Source organism: Homo sapiens, chromosome 6 (genome assembly GCF_000001405.40).
Source record: "Homo sapiens chromosome 6, GRCh38.p14 Primary Assembly".
In the NCBI taxonomy this organism is placed as follows: domain Eukaryota; kingdom Metazoa; phylum Chordata; class Mammalia; order Primates; family Hominidae; genus Homo; species Homo sapiens.
In genome coordinates this window covers 165,323,979-165,341,666 of record NC_000006.12, presented here as the reverse complement: position 1 = coordinate 165,341,666, position 17,688 = coordinate 165,323,979, and the positions used below count along the sequence as shown (strand labels likewise).

The 17,688-nt window shown below is 38.4% G+C and overlaps 1 protein-coding gene across 12 annotated transcripts in view; it reads left to right on the top strand.

The window, feature by feature from the left end:
• The window catches only part of PDE10A (phosphodiesterase 10A), a 660,764-nt gene extending 646,386 nt beyond the window's left edge, over window positions 1-14,378 (top strand). For 11 of the 12 annotated variants that reach the window (XM_011535387.4, NM_001385079.1, NM_001130690.3 and 8 more), the window contains 3 exons: window positions 2,309-2,389; window positions 5,456-5,544; window positions 8,540-14,378. In XM_011535387.4, coding sequence (XP_011533689.2) covers window positions 2,309-2,389; window positions 5,456-5,544; window positions 8,540-8,642 — 273 coding nt within the window. In that variant the 3' untranslated portion in view covers window positions 8,643-14,378. Of the gene's footprint in view, window positions 1-2,308; window positions 2,390-5,451; window positions 5,545-8,539 lie in introns of all 12 variants that reach the window. The other variant, XM_017010194.3, reaches the window with a different exon arrangement.

Sequence of the window (17,688 nt, the reverse complement as noted above, 5' to 3'; positions counted from 1 at the left end):
ACGTTCCCTAGACTGAAGTCTGCAGCTGTGGTTGCCGCCATGTTAACATAAATGAATCCCGTGTAAGGATCGTTGCAAAAAAAGAAAAGGAAATTCATGAAGCCATCACTGCAGCTATGACAACAGGAGCAAAAACCTTGCACTGTTTGTGAAATATCTTTTTATCTCATACTAAAAATGCACGTTTTGTTCAGGTACAGGATTGCTATGAGAAAGGCATAACTATAGACTGTAATATGATTTCTATATTCTAGACAAATGTAGAAAATGTGCAGTCATTAAATGACAACTTAAAGTAAAAGGAAGGTGCAGGATTAAAAGCTGGAGAATTTAATGCCAAAATGTGACCAATATGTAATGGAGATGTTTTTCCTTTATATTATTCACTGGTTATTCAGTCCACAGATAATGATTCAGCTCTCTGCATGCTCTTAGGTGCAGCCTTCACCAACCTCAATAGTCCACAGGAAGAAGCAGGAATATATTCACCAAGTCCTGACAGTTGTTCCCAGTATCTATAAAGTCCTGTCTCTTCTCTCCATCCTCACAATCTTTCCCCTCTTCAGGTCATCACCAACTCATGCCTTGAGTACTGCAACTTTCTAACTGAATTCCTTGCCATTACCTTTTAGAATTTGTGCAAAAGTAATTAATAATGTGGTCTTTGGTGCCAGGTTGCTTGAAATTAAAATTCCGCTTTGGCACTTGGTATTTAACCTCAGGCCAGTTTATGAGATAGGGATGATAATAATTCGGATTCCATCCGTACCCTGCTTCTGATCCTCTTGTTGTAATACAGACCAAAATCATGACCTCCGTGTGGAGAGCCCCACATGGCTGGCCCCCTGCCCACTGTCTGTGCAGGCATATTCCCCATCTCAGCCCCTAGCTGCCATTTAGGTCTTTGTTCCCTGCAGTCTCTGCCTGGAGCATGCTCCTGCCCTCTGTATTCTGTGAAAGCCTCAGATTGGCTCAGCCCTCTGTTAGAGCCATGGTCTGTAGCACTGGGTTCTTTTCCTTTTTAGCATTTTTGTTTCGAGTACATATTCAAATCATCGTTTGTTTAAAAAGCTGTTTCCTTGTTGGACTTGTCAAGTCTTTGAGAGCAAGGGACTTAGTATGTCTCACTCACTTTGGATAGAGAAGCAAAAGGTTTGAGACCACTGATTTTAAATTTAAAGTGGTAACAATGGAACAGCAGCCATGCTTGAAGTGGCTTTGCTTTGTCAGGACAAGTGCTTTGGTCCTGTACATAAAAATACCTAATTATGGTGATAGTAGTTTGTTTGTAGACCCTATTTTAGCAAGTCTGGGAAGTTTCTAGGCTGTACTTCTGATTTCTAAAAACATGACCAACGTTACTAAAATAATAAAAACTATGAGGGAAGAGTGGGAAGTTAGGAAAAATACTAGGAAATCTTAAGAAGATTGTACAAGTTTTACCTTTAACAAATAAATAAAAAGCAAGATAATTTCTAAAATCTTTAAAATGGGAACAGCATATCCTAGAATATTTCATAAGGATTAAATGAAATAATATTTACAAATTACTTAGCTCAGGGCCTGCATCATAGTGAATCTTTAGTAACTATTACCTGTAACTGTAAGTGAATCTTTAGTAACTAACATAGTGAATCTTTAGTAACTATTACCTGTAAGTGAATCTTTAGTAACTAACATAGTGAATCTTTAGTAACTATTACCTGTAAGTGAATCTTTAGTAACTAACATAGTGAATCTTTAGTAACTATTACCTGTAACTGTACGTGAACCTTCAGTAACTAACATAGTTAATCTTTAGTAAGTATTACCTATAATTGTAAATTAGATGATATGTGTAGTTTGTTGTACTGCGTCTTTACTAGCACATTTTAGTCGACTGGTGATGTTTATCTTCCTCTGTAAATATTCCTCTGGAAAGCCAAACTTCACTGAGTTCCATGCACTTGGAAGATCATTTGGAAGAGAGAAGGGCCTGGAGGTTATTCCATATCTTGTTATTGTTATTTCTCCTCACTGTTTACTGTATCTCCTCTTATTATAACATTTATTTACTAACTTCTGCAAAATGAAACCAGTAATAATGGCTGGGTTTCTGGTAATTCAGTAGTGGAGAAAATCAGGATAAAGTACAAAATAATGATACATTAAGTTTTTCTTTATTTTGATGTACTTTTCTTGGGTTAACAACCACAAACATTATTTGTTTTGAAGAAAATTAAGGAATAAAGGGAATAATTCAATAATATCAAAATAGTATAGCAATTTGAAATTTGAGAAAGCATGATTTTCTCCCCATTCATCTTAGGGTGATGAAATGAAGAAATTGGGAATACAGCCTATTCCTATGATGGACAGAGACAAGAAGGATGAAGTCCCCCAAGGCCAGGTATGAATTATTAAAGTAAATTGTAATTGCTAAAGCCAAATAGTTTAAGGTGGGCATAAAATCATACATAAATGGAAAGCATGTCATCATATATTATGTTAAGGGAATGGGTTATTCCAGGCAGATCTGGTGATTAATATAGAAACTTCAGAAATTTATCTTACAAGATTGAGAACTAGAAAAAGAAAAACTGTTTACCCTGAATAATCATCTACTCAAATGAGCCTTCACTTGCTAAGACACTCAGAAAAGTAGACTCTAAAAGAGTTTATACTCTTAATCTGAGTTTGACGGCCAACTCTAACCACTGATTTTGTTCCCAAGGCTAAAAGCCACAGTGAGGAATCCTGAGGGTCTGGCTGCCTTGTGGACTGGAGGGACTTAGTGCTCAGAGGACAGAAGCTAGAACCACTTGAAACCTTCTCCATTTAGATGGAGTAAGACCAAGGTTAGGAAATCTCTGTGGACTGAAAGAATTCATACTACCTTGGCCACGACTCCTTTCTACAGCTGCCGTTGCAGTAAATAGGCTTTCTTTTCTGACTTGAAATAGAGGGGGTGGATGAATTTGAATTGTTTTATTTTTAACAAGCAGAAAATATTTTGTCATTGGCTAAACAAAGATATTTTTGGAGAGTTACATTATAGATTTTAATTCAGGTTCATTTTTTTCTGACAAATAATGCTTAGTATTTTAGTACATTTTATGTTTTGTCTCAACATAAATTGACATTAATTATCCTCTTTTCAGGTCATACTACATAATTTATTTTGCTTTTGAATGTTTTGAGAGGTCTTGTGCCTCGCTAGTTTTGCACATGTGTATGTGTGGTGTCATATATTTCTGAGAGTATGGCTTTCGTTAACTGTCTCATCTTCTAATGGCATAACAAGGAAGTTAGTTGTGGGCAAATAAATAATTATGATACAGATAAGTTTAACAAATGTTTAAAAAAGTCCACAGGATGGTGGTTTTTGATAAGTTCTCAAATTTCCCTACTTTATTTAAAATTGATTTATACAAAATTTAGACAAGTCCACAGCTCACAGAGGGTACCAGCACAACAAAGAGGCTGAATGAATGGCCATTGCCTCCACTTATGTCCCTGGCTAGGTTTTCTGATGGCATGGTCACTTTTCCCTCTTGATTAGAAATGGATCCTGAATACCTATCGTGTTTACTGCAGGTGTATTTTGAAGTTTTTGTCGCATTTTACCACTGTTCATGGAATTTTCCCATATATGGAGTCACAGCTGTTAGTCATTCCTGTTCGGTGTCTGCTTTTCATATTGTATTTGAGAAGTTCTTTCCCATCTTGAGAGTAAATATATTTGCCTATATTTTCTTTAGTTTCTTCTTGATTACTTTCCATTTGATTTATTGACTTGTTTGGAATGTATCTTGTTATATTATTTAAGATAGGGATCTACAATTTCTTTCCTTCCCAGTAGTTAACAGTCATCCCAAGAATGCATGGTATAGCTGGAAATTTCTCATTGATGCTGTCAGCATATGGGTTTTGCTCTAGTGTTTTTAACTAAGATAATCGTTTGTTTTAGAATAGTTTGATTTTCATTTACAGCCTAATAAAGGTTTAAAGAAAAATTTCTATGATCAGTTCATATTTTACCAACCATATTGCTTCTAAATAGTTGATGACTGTGAAATTATTTGCCATAATAATGAAATACTCTAATTTCTAATATTAGTATCTTTTCTGGGATCTTGTGCCCCATGACATCTGTTAAATATTAGAATAAGAAAGTCTCTGCATGAGCCATAAAGTTAAAAATGGAAATAACACAGGCGCTATTCTAGTAAGAGTGCTATGACGATAGACTTTATAACAGGAGAAAGCAAAAAGGAATAAATTTGATCCTTCTGTATGCTTCGATGCATATCACTGAAGTTCAGTACTTTCGAGAAATTGGTAAGCTGTGATTTGGGGTCACCTCTTCTAGAGAGCTATTTGTCTCGTACATGATGCAGCCACTTGGCCAGTGACTTATGACTAGACAAGCTGTGTTATCTGGCTGATAGTCACATATCTTTTACATCTGGACTTCAGTAAGCCAGTCTTATTTGCACAGTGACCCAGAATTCCTAATAAAATATTATTTATGTATTATTTAAAATACTACAGATTTTTAAACTTTGAAATGTGATATATTGGAAAAACAGTAAATGGGAAGAGCTGTGATAAAACCAATGACATTTATTTTAGTTCAAATAAGAGGGCTGGGAGGATGAGTAAATATTGGGACACCACACAAGGCACCAAAGCCAAGAGTAACAGACAAGCAGAAAGCACTGCTGTAAACCTGAGCACGAGGGCGGAAAGAGCCATATGTATGAAAGAATAGCAGGCTTTACGTTGAAGTGTCTGCAAGAAAGCACTAAAGGTGACTGGAGATAACACAGGACTTGAATGATCAACTGACTGATCTATTAGCGAAATGTCATTTAATGTACTTGGGTCTTAGATTTCAGTAGGTATTTTTTTTTTTTTTTTTTTTTTTTTGAGACGGAGTCTCGCTCTGTCGCCCAGGCCGGACTGCGGACTGCAGTGGCGCAATCTCGGCTCACTGCAAGCTCCGCTTCCCGGGTTGACGCCATTGTCCTGCCTCAGCCTCCCGAGTAGCTGGGACTACAGGCGCCTGCCACCGCGCCCAGCTAATTTTTTGTATTTTTAGTAGAGACGGGGTTTCACCTTGTTAGCCAGGATGGTCTCGATCTCCTGACCTCGTGATCCACCCGCCTCGGCCTCCCAAAGTGCTGGGATTACAGGCGTGAGCCACCGCGCCCGGCCAGATTTCAGTAGGTATTAACCTTTGTAATATGTTTTGAATCTTCATGTGTTTTATTTCTAGAATCCATTTTAATGCATTTTAAAATACAGTCTATAATAGTATTCATGGAACCCAGATATCACATACAGCAAAACTAGAACATGCAATTTTATAATTAGGCCTCAGAAACAGAACAGTCACTTAAGAAATATAAATATCACTGGAATTGCTAATGTGCACTTTTGTTTCTTGTCCGTGGTTTTTGCATGGAGGCAGCTTGGGTTCTACAATGCCGTGGCCATTCCCTGCTATACAACCCTTACCCAGATCCTCCCTCCCACGGAGCCTCTTCTGAAAGCATGCAGGTATGTACTATGGTTCAAGCCGTAAAAATATTGTTTCCAACAACACTGAGATCTGTATAGGATTTTTGTACCCCACTAGTGTGTTGTGGTCTGTGTGTTTGTCTAGATGTCGAGTTGTTGTGCTCAGGGACTCGGGGCCTCCTTACCTGGCTTCCCCAGGGCCACGACTTCTCCCCTTTGGTTCAATTCTCCTCAAAGACGAGCCTCAGGCACCTTGGGTGCTTGGGTAGCTTCTTCTGGCCACACTCTGAAGAGAGGGACAGTGGGAACAGGCTGGGGGCTGGGGCCAGACACAGTCAGGGCCCAGATGACCGAGTGACTGGGAGGGCCTCTGTCTCGGTGTGGGAGACCCTTCTCGCTTTCTTATGCCCACGTTCAGTCTGAGTGGGGTGCCAGGTCTTTCTTTGAGAAAGGGCATGTGTGTGGTTCTTGCAAGGCAGCTTGGTTTCAAGCCTAATGAGAGCTGCATCTGTGCTGAAGGGACCTTGTCCCTGGAGGTCCTCAGGCCTGGGATAGAAGCCCTTGGCCAGGCTGCCTTATTCTGCTAAGTGAGACATGGAGTCAGTCCTGCAAGAGGGGCCCCTGGCTCTCATGACTCGTACAGCCACAGTATGTCCCTATGTAGTACACTATGTATATGTGAAGAGTGTCTATTCATATCAAGTCCTTCATACACCAAAAAGGAGGAAGAAGTTTTTATTATTATTGTTATTTTGCAGAGGACCTGCCCAATGCTGTTTTTAAAAAGACAAGGTAATGGTGTCTATTGAGGATGCCTGTGCAGGAAGAGGCTGACTAGATCACACAGTTTGTTGTTTAAATGGAAGAAGGGGACCTTAAATTTTGAATAACCGCTTCCTCTTTAAGTCTTTTTCTCATTCCAGAAAGACATTTAAGCATCGTTATCTCTTCTAGATTCATTATTTCTCCCTATTCCATTCTTATCCTTTTTAAAGAGTGAACTCGGTTAAGAACCTTGGATATTTTTAAAGATTTTCATTTTACTTTATAAATTCCCTCTGAGGAAGTCAAAGGGTTATAGCCAGCAGCTGTGCGTGTGAGTCTTTTCTAGGTGAATTGGCTCCGGGCCATGTTTTAACTACTTAGCCATAGCTCTGCCTGGGGTGGGTTGGAGTGGATGCCCTGTGGGAGGACGGAGAACAGACACTGGCCAGAGAGTTTTACACAAAACCAGAAACTTAGTATACTCTTATCTTCTGCTGTTGAAATTTTTTTTCTGCTTTTTTCAAGGAAAGACCAATAAGCAATATTAAAAATTTTATATATATAATATTTAAGAAACGGTTTCTCCTTCCTTCCTGCTCCTGTGGATATAAACGTAGCATCCCACCTTGTTCTGTTGAGCCTTAATTGACCTTAATCCCTGGTTAGTTTATTAAAATCTTACCTTATTACAAAGGCCTAAGTCATAATGGGCAATATGGAGTGTGAGGCCAGATCATTCTTGAAGGAATTAGGTTATAAAAGTGTGTGCAAAATTAAAGAGAAAGTGGGATATCAATGTAAATTCAAAGATGTTGTTTAAACCAATATCTTCAAAAGTCCTTTCCTGTCCAGAAATTCTGTGTGTTTTATGCCAGGTACTTGGAAGCCAGGTCATGAGTGCTGACTGTGCATGCCCGGTGCTGTAGGGCGCTATGGAGGCGTGTGCCCGGCGCTGTAGGGCGCTATAGAGGCGCGTGCCCGGCGCTGTAGGGCGCTATGGAGGCGCGTGCCCGGCGCTGTAGGGCGCTATGGAGGCGCGTGCCCGGCGCTGTAGGGCGCTATGGAGGCGCGTGCCCGGCGCTGTAAGGCGCTATGGAGGCGCGTGCCCGGCGCTGTAGGGCGCTATGGAGGTGCCTTCCTTGTGGAGCTCTGAGAACACGGTGTCCACTGTGTGGGCAGCTCTGCCTCATTCCTGCTTCAGTATACTTGGCTGGACCACATAACTTCTTAAAGGCCATTTTAATCTTATTAACGCTTAAAAAGCGTATGATGTATCATCGGTGTCCAAGGAAACATACCAAAATTAGTGTATGGCTTTTTCCAATATATCAGAAGTCTCTAGGGTCTGGAAAAATAATACTTGATGATATGTTACAAAAGTTAAAAGGGCTACACTTTTCAGTTATATTTTAGGGTTTTGTCTATCTGAATGTGTCTTAGCATGTTTGCTAAAAGAAATTTGAGAGAATTTTAAAACTGTGTCTCATAGGAGTTTTGTATTTCCCAATGCCAAGATTCCCATGTGACTTCACACAGGAATGTGGCTAAGAGCTCTGCCAGGGTAGCCATGTAGAGTAAGATGGTTGTGCAGTGGTTGTGATCACGCAGTTAGAGAAGATGACGATGCCTGTGAAGCTTGAACCACAGACACTGAGAGAGAAAGATTAGAGGACTCGAGAAATGAGACTGCCTCGGGTGAGGACTTACCAGAGCACAAACACGGTTTTACTGTAACAAGAAAATTTCCGAAGTTTTGCCAGGTGTAACTTAGGATGACTTTGTACATACGACACACTGTTCAGAATAAGAACAAGTGTAAGATGATGAGGTTTAGGCCTCCTGGGAGATGCACTGTCGACATTTCTCAGTAGGAAGGTCCGTGTTGTCACCAAGTGTTCCTACTGCTCTGGGACCACCTCCTTTGCACGATCCCGCGTATTCCTCAGTAGTAAACCCTAGGGCTCTTTCCCTGTTCAAGTTAATCCTTCTTTCTAAGAAAGGACGTATGCTGAGCCCTAGCATTTCTGCTGCTTTCGCGGTCCAGAGCGGATGGACCAAGGTGCCCCTGACCCTCTGGCACCTCTGAATCTCTTTCCTGAACAGCCATCACAGGAACCTGCCTGGCCACGTCGTGCTGGTAACCATGTCGGAGGGCCCCACACAATGCCGTTGTGCAGAGCTGTGCCACAGGACTGTTTGGTTAGTTTTCAAGACAAAGTCCAGAAATCCTTTATTCAGCTTCTCCTGAAACTGCATCTTTTATCCCTAGGGATAATCTCAGTCAGTGGGAGAAGGTGATTCGAGGGGAGGAGACTGCAACCTGGATTTCATCCCCATCCGTGGCTCAGAAGGCAGCTGCATCTGAAGATTGAGCACTGGTCACCCTGACACGCTGTCCCACCTACAGATCCTCATCTTGCTTCTTTGACATTCTTTTCCTTTTTTTGGGGGGGGTGGGGGGAACCTGCACCTGGTAACTGGGGTGCAAACCTCTTCAAGAAGGTAACATCAAATAAATAAGTCAAGCAGAGGACTTCCTGCCAATCTCTTCTGTGAGGCATCATAGACACTGAGCAACCAGGACCACCCCCACGTTCAGAAATCAGCTGGCCAAGTGACTCCATTTGACTTGCAAACCAGCCTTTTCTAATAGGCTAATATTGCTGAGGCCTTAAAGGAAATGGACAAAAATTATCCAGAAGGGGTACTTTTCCATTGTATCTTTCTAATAAGGGTTTAAAATGGTACTATTATGGTATTGTACTTGGGCTTTAACATCAATGTTGCTTTGATGTTGTTGGATATAAATAGGAATTTTTACACATTACTATTGTGAATGGTGAATGTTCATGTATGACCTACTTGTAATTAACTTGAGTTGTAGTCCACAGCCTCAGGACAAATGTCGTTGAGGTTACAGAGTAAGAAATGATGGCAAAACGTCAAACTCTTATTTCAGAGCTTCATGAATTTAGTTAGACTAAACATAATTCTTTAAGTTCAACCTAAAGGGCTGAGATCAATAAATTTAACACTAGACGAAGTAGACTTCCTGTCTTTTTGAGAAGAGATGAGGTATATGTTACAATAAATCTCAGAACTTCAAGTAGCAGTTCAAAAGATGTCAGTTTTTAAAATTGTTTTTGTTGTTGTCTTGGCAGTTTTACTGAACCCTTTGCATAAAGAACAAAATAAAAGCTCGGCATTGTAATTTTTTTAATGGACAAGTCTTATGGATACGAAGGGTACATTTTTCATAATGATTCCTTTATATTTTCACTTTGTGTCATTGCAGAATTTTAGACTCTCATTCACAATGAAAAGTTTATTTTAAACATTGTTTAATTAAAATACCATACAGTTCTCTTTTAAACATCAAACCATAAAAAGTGTATTTTGTAATTTTACTCTGACCTGCCGCAGTCACCTCTCACTTATCTCTTCCACGTACTGCACGGTCGTATTTCATGAGCTTTCTGTCCATAGCACAGAAACAGAGCAGAAAGTAGTACAATCATGTTGGACCTTCTTTCTGTTCTCTTTACTCTTCTCACAGATCAGATCACTCCATAGAAGCCTGTGGGTTTCGATGGTTTCTTCTATACACCTTTTTGGTTGACCAGTATTACTATACAATGTAAGTGTTTTAAAAAATACGAAAGTAATACTCTGCACCCCTTCCTACAAAGATGATAAAGCAGTCACTTCTGGCGCATTTTAATAATTTAAAGATTTTTAGTGCAATGGCACGGTAACCTCCAAACCTGAATTAGACAGAGACTCACTCAGGAAGTGACAGGCCCATCATATCAAATAACTTATTCACTTTTCATGTGGCAGGAAACTGGAATATCGCTTTTAATAAAATGGAAAAATATGCTTCTACATATTTACCACCATAGGCGTTTTGTTCATATGAGCCTGGTTTGTGCAAAATTAAATCAGAGGCTTCTACAACATGGTTTATTTATGTTGTAGCAAAGTTGGCTCTACATAAACATTGTTCTTATTTTAAAATTAACACTATGTGTTCAGTTTTCTTGTGGGCTTCTGAAAGTTGCCATCTTCCCTCCGTGGAGCTCCATTTGCTATTTTCATTATACACTATGAGGTAAAATGTAATAACAAAAGAGAGAGAAGTACCACTGTGGCTAGATATATACACACACATATATATATGGATGGATGTAATATATGTAGAACACACACATAGATGTATATAGGATACACACTCATGTATGTAAACGTATACATATGTGTATATATGATACATACACATACACACACACGAGAGACAGAAGGAAAGAGAGGAAGAGAGAAGCAAACATGTAGGAAAAAATATAAATCAGCCCCATTCTCCCATTCTTTAAGAACAATGATTTTTCTTGATGGAAAATGCATATCACTTGACAGTTGACAAGAAAGTGTCATTTTTGTGTTAGTGTATCATATAATTGAATTTGAACAAGATACATATTTTTCTGCATACAAATTTATGAAGCTGGAGTCTACCAAACACAGCTTTAGTCACAAAAGTTAGTTTAGTTATCTCATTTCGCTTGGAGATGGAATTTCAGGAAGGGATATATTATTTAAGATTATTGTTTAATTACAAGAATTTTAAAAGAATGTATGAATTCTGTTTTTTAATATAGAAAATAATTATGGAGTTAGGAATCTCATGGCTACATTTACATTTTTAGGTTATTACAGAAAATTCTCTTAATTTATTATAGTCAAGTGTATTATGTAATCTCTATTTAGAACAGTTTCCCAAAGGAATGTGATTGGATTTACTGGTTGGTTAATTTCTTGTGAAATATTGTCATAATAGAAGCACAGCTTGAACAAAAGACTGAATTCTGATATAAACTGTCAATATTGCTTTTACCATGTGTAAGATTTACTTAGTAATCACAGATTTACCTAAAATAAAAGGACCCGGGTTGCAGTGATATTTAGTTAATGATTTGTTTTGGAAAACATGCAGTTAGGAGTATTTTTGTATTTTGTCAGATGTTTAGGAGACAGACTTTCGGGTCATGTTTCTTGTCTTGTTCCCAGATCTTTTCTTAAAAGAACAGTGTGACACCAGAAGCCAAGAGATGGTTTTTACTAACAACAGCTTTGATGAGTTCCTATTAAGGTCGTATTGTGTATTGTGCCAAATTTTCCACCCAGTATAAATTTAGTAACCCGCTATGAGCATATGTAGGATATTCAATTTGCAGATACTTTTGTTGGTTATGTTGGTTTATAATAGACAAGTTTTATGGTCATATGCAATTATTCCATTATCTTTTTGGACACAGTGAATATGTTTTTTAGCTAAAAATGTCCTTGGAAACATAAATGCCTGCCAATAACATGGAATATTGAATTCGGGCAATGTGAATTGATTAATTAGAAAAGGGTCAAAAGAAATACAATGGATGTGGAAACTAATTCTAAAAAATAGCCCTATTAATAGGGCAGAGACTCTGGTCCATTTCCCAGCTGTACTTCTCTCTAAGAGGTGTATGAAAAACCCATCTTGCAAAAGAGACCAAAATATTAGACACAATCGTTCCCATTCCTGACTCTTCAATGGAAAAGGAAGGTACAGATGTTTACAGTGGTGCCCCAGGTGACTCGTTCTCACCACAACAAAAGCAACTAATTGGAAACTAGATGTGTTCAATAATAGATTTCCTCTTTTTTGGCATGCTTTTTAGATTTTTTTTCATTTTGTAAAATCTCAGTTAATTTTTCTTTATTGGTATATTTGTGTATGCGAGACAAATCCTGTATTGTACAGGATATAAATAGATGCATAAATCCTTAGATACCTGGGTTTTTTAATAGGTTTAGGTTTGGGTATTGTGTTTCTGGTCTTTTAACTCAAAATTAAGGTTTGAGCTTTAATAGGACTAAATTATTCACCTGCCTTGGCCTGTGCCTTTATTTTAAATACTGCAATTTTACTTCTTCATTCATGTATTTATTATTTTGCTTTTCTTGCTTAAGTATAATTGAAAATATTTGCAGGAACGCACAATTCATTTTATCAAGTTGAATGAATAGGACCATTCTCTCCTCATCAGATTTCTGTTCTTTATTTGACTTCATTGACATATACCCTGGTGACTATAACCAGTGAACTGTTCAGAGTCAGTCTTTTCGGCAAGAACTTCAGAGAACTGTGACACTGGTTATGATGTGATTTTGGGGGGTTTCAGGTACCTAAGCATGATTTTTAAAATCACTTCTCTCTTTACATATTTCGAACATATGTTTGCTTTCTACACTTTGCAGATTTTATTTAGGATTTAATTCTTTAAAGACTATATTCATTTAGTCACTATAGTGGATCTCTTCTACTGCAAGTATTCATCTGATTTTTAAATTATGTAAAATGTAAATCAGCCAAGTATGTCATCCGTTATAGTTTCCCCATGCTTTCAGCGCATGGCCATGAGATTTTTACATGTGCATAAGTATTTAGCCAATACACATTTTGCTGACTTCTTTAACCATTTATATTGTTTAAATTAGTAATATCCAATGCAGTGCACACTTTTTTGTCTTTTTTCCAACGGAATATTTTGGTTGTCTGTAGCGTTGGAAGCATTTTATATGATAAAAATAGCAAGAAAAAATTAAAAAGTGTCAACGGTGTGCTGGTTCTAAATTAAGAAGATAGAACAAAGAGAAAGACATTAATGTTACCTAAGAAACACATTTAACATCCGAAGAAGCAATGCTGTCCTCACTTGATGTTTCTCTTCTCAACCCAGCAATGGAGAGCAGGGCTTGCAAAGCCGTACAGAGCCTACGTGCTCTTTCCTGCAAGTGGGAGAAAACTAATCAATGGCACACAGGGCCAGGTGTGGCCCTGTGAGGCAAAGGATAATGTCACCTCAGGACCAAGGTGGAAACTTACAGCTGAATCCAGGGCTTACTAAGTAGGGAAGTCAGTTTACATATTTCAGTTTTCCTCTGATGTTTTTGAGGTACTGTGTATTTGCAGAAGTTTAAGCAGAAGGGTTTTGTTTCTATTGTAAGTTAGGTTCTAAAAGTGTATAATCTGATACTCTAGCCCAACTGAAATATTATATCTTGGGCGTTACAGCCTTTGTCTTTTTCTTTAGTCACCTTAATACCCAGTCCTATGCTGTATCTCTGATAGCCTATATAAATGACATATAGGAATATTATTTTCCATATGATCTGTTGTATGGTGTATATGCTATGTGTTCATTTCGTGTGCAAGTTCAGAGTGTAATAGATTTACCCAGAGAAGGTGTTTCTATACAATGCCCCTACCTATTTGAAATTACATGCTTGCCCAACACACTGTGAAATAGTTACCAAAATTTGTACAAATGCAGCATCTTCATTCTTTCTGAGAAGACAAGATGGTTTTCTTTACATGAACAAATGAACAAAAGAGATCCTAGATCCATAACGTAGCTAAGGCATCTAAGAGTTTGCTGTTGATAATCTTGCTGACCAAAAACTACTGGAGAGTAACACAGGTTATATGCCATCACAAATACAATGCTCATGAAGAACTGATTTGTAGAGTCAATGAACCTGTGTCCAGAATTTTAATAGGCTCTCTATTGGAAGGAGAAAGAATTTCAAGTTAACAGTATCTAACTTTATCATAGTTGATGTTAGTAAATTTTAAAAAATGATTTTATATGTATGACAAAAATCTTTGTAAAATGCGCAAGTGCAATAATTTAAAGAGGTCTTAACTTTGCATTTATAAATTATAAATATTGTACATGTGTGTAATTTTTTCATGTATTCATTTGCAGTCTTTGTATTTAAAAAACATTTACTGTTATGTTTGTATAATAGAACAGTAATCATTTATTATAATCTAGGCAAGTTGTAAATAAATTCATAATTCAAACAGCCAGTATATATGCATATATGAGTGTTATATTGCAAAATCTTTGTTTTACTTACATGGTTAAAGCAGCAAGAATTCTTTTGTTGATATGTAATTATACACATAAAATATATATATGTATGATACATGAAATATATTTAGAAATGTTCATAATTTTAATGGATATCCTTTGGTGTGAATAATTGAATACAGAGTTTTTAAAATATCTTTCACGTATATCACTTGCTCTCATTTGTGGGGAAGATAATAGACATTTCACAGAAGGTCATTTGAAAACACTCCAGGCCTTGTTTGCCTAGAAAACACCAAGTTTACATTGAATTAACATGTTGTGTTTGCTTCACCCATTTTCTAGCAGACAGCACAAGACAACATAAAATGTTAAATGTTATGATTGACTAACTCTAAGTCCATTCTGTAGTTTTAAAGATTCAGATACTGTGTAGGGAACCCGTGGTGCCGCAGTGATGGCTTCAGGTTACTGAGCCAGCATCCCTGAGTGCCAACCCGCAGGCTTCCCCGGGAGCTTCCGTGGCCCTCGGAGTCTTTGGGGCAACAACGCAAATGCACACTCACTAAAAGCACACCCTCCTGAAAAGAGAAGTGCTGGGCAAAACACAGTGGTGCATGTGTGTTTATGTGTACGTGTTGGGATTCTTTCTGCTATAGGAAAGAACACATTCAGGGCTAAAACCTCACATACTGTGTACACAGTGATAAGTATACTCATGGTCTTATCTTTAAAACTCTGGGTAAAGAAATTATGTTTTTATTTTGACTATCTCTGTTTGCCATCAAATGAGTAGGCAAATGATAAATATGTAAGACCAAAAAGTTAAATTTTATCCCTGATCCTCTCTAACCTTAAACATATTAGAGTTAAATGTGAGAGGCTTAAACATATGAGTGTCCACAGCCTTGTGAATTAGAAGGAAAAGGAATTCTTCTCCAATACCAAACTCTTACTAATGGAATGCCCTCCGGATGCATAGCACTATACATAATGGTAGACAGGATTTTTGTTAAATATTCATTTCCTGTGAAATATTCATTTCCTGTGCTAAAAATAAATTTCATGAGCTAATATATCCATAAAGTTATTTAGTTATTCAAGTTGCAGATTGGCACTCTGTAAAGCTGATCTGAATTTGAATCCTCATCTTAACTGTGCATACCTTTGATTTTTCCATCACCTGTAATGCAACAGTGTTGAGAGTAAAACTTCTCCATCACATGTATTTCCTAATGCAAGAAGAATCCTCAAAAGCAACACTTACCAAACAAACATTTATTCAACAAGCATTTATTAGGCACTTAGTGTGTGGAAGGAAAGAATGGAAGGAGAAGAGATTGGAAGCAGAGGACGGGATGTCATGTTTCTGTAGGGTTGGCCCTCACACCTTCATCTTGCCAAAGACAAAGTCACTTAGCCATGGATTCCTGTGCACTTGTGCCTTTCCGTAAGTACTACTTTCATGATCGTAGTTACCGCAGTGTGGAAGAGAAAGCACACATTTAAAGACCTGAAGATCTCAGATATTTAATTACAATTTTTAATTTCAAAAACCCGCAATTGATTCCATTCTTATAAGAGGAAACGAAGCTTGATGAGACAGAAACCAAACAGAAGCATGCCCCTGCATGTCTACAGCTTTTTCCTCTCCCACACCCTTCGCCCACTATCAGAAATAAAAAGATGCCTCCCACGGCAGATCTAGACGTTTCCTCGACAGTGAAGAGCAAAGGATAGTGACTAGAAAATAAAATCAGGAATTTATTTGAAATATCAACTTCCAAATTCTTAGCTGGTAGTTGTATATATTCAGATAATGTCTAGCTTTTTTGATGTCTATGTCACTAATTAGAACTCCTGCTCAAAAGGATGACCTTACAGCATGGTAAGTAGTCATTAAAAAGAAAACAGATTCAAACATTTTAACATACAGAATGACTGAGGTACACAAACATATTCATATACATTAAGGAAATGTTTACCTGCTTTACTTTGCATTATCAAAAAAAGCAAAATATCAGACCACCCTGTTTCCTAAGTCTCCTGCATAACTGGATTATGCCTGTGAAATCAGGAATGTTAGGGATTGGACTCAGAGGTCATGGGTACAATCTCCCATCAGCCAATGCAAAATCCCTTACTTGCCATTTCTGGTAGATGCTCCTTCAACAAACCACTCCTGAGTTGGAAAACATTCTACCGTGAGGCAAACCAGACCGCTGGTTGACAGCTGTAGTTGCCAGGAAGTTCTATCCAAAGTTGAGCTGAAACCTGTTGCTTTATGATTTTTATTCCAACATGCTAGTTCTGAGCTTGTAGTCACACAGAGAAGTCCACTTCCTTTGCACCTGACAATCTTCCAGTTAATTGAAGAAGGCTATCATGCCTCCTCATGCTGAACCTCATCTTTTTTTAATTGCTTTAAAATATAAGTTGGCTAAGGCACCTGCAGTATTCTTGACATTCTCCCCTGAGGAAAGTGCCAGCAGCCTGCTACTGGGCCCTTCCTTACTACAGAATAACATGTGGCTGAAGTGCCTCAGCTGGCACTCAGGTGACCTCCTACCTCCCATGGCCTGTGGCTCAGTCCTGGGGAAGTCACACCATTCCTTGAGCATCCCATGTCCTTTAGAGAATGTCACATACAATTCTCTCTACTGGAGTGACTTCACTCTGATTTCTGTTTGGTCAATTCATTCTTGAAAACATAAATTTGAGAATCTCCTCTACTTGAGAGCCTGTTTCTGCCGGTCAGTGATGTGCCCCCTGAATGTGCTCCCTTGACCCCCCTGCATGATGAAATGGGGCTGTGATGTGCACCCAGCCCAGGCGGAAATAATAGAGGTTAACATCTATTGAGCACTTACTATTTGCAGGCACTCTTGAGTCCTACTCATCTGAACTCAATCTCACAACAATTCTATGACTTATGTGTAATAGGGCCCCTCTTTTAAAAATCAGAAAAATGAAATGCAGAGCGGTTCAGTAGCTGGTAAATGAGGATGTAGGGGTATGTACCTGAGCCCACCGAGGCTCTGAGACTCCATCTGTAAGCTCTATGATGTCCTGAAATGCTCCTTGCTTCAGTACCTGTTTGTAAAGGTTGCATCTGGCTAAAGTAAGGCACATAAAACATTCACGTTATCCATCAGGATCCTCGTCCCAAAGCATCGAGTTCCTCATGAACAATGCTCCTCTTCACTCCTTGCCTGGAGGAGTGCAAGAGTAGGAAGTCTAAGAGAAAGAAACAAATAGCATTCCACTTTTCCTTCTCAAAATATAATTTGGAAATTCACAGTAGATGAAGTATTGGGAGAAGTTTTCGTGTTTACAGGGTAACAATCTGGCTTAAACAAGATGTTTTCAGGAGCCCCCAGGACTGAGGGTTGCCTGAACTGAGGAAGGAAGGAATGTGAGAAAGAAGGCAATTCACAACAGGCTGTCTCCAAAAACAGGCCCAGCCCTGCTCTCGACCAAGGTGGGAACCTTGGGGATAGAAAGG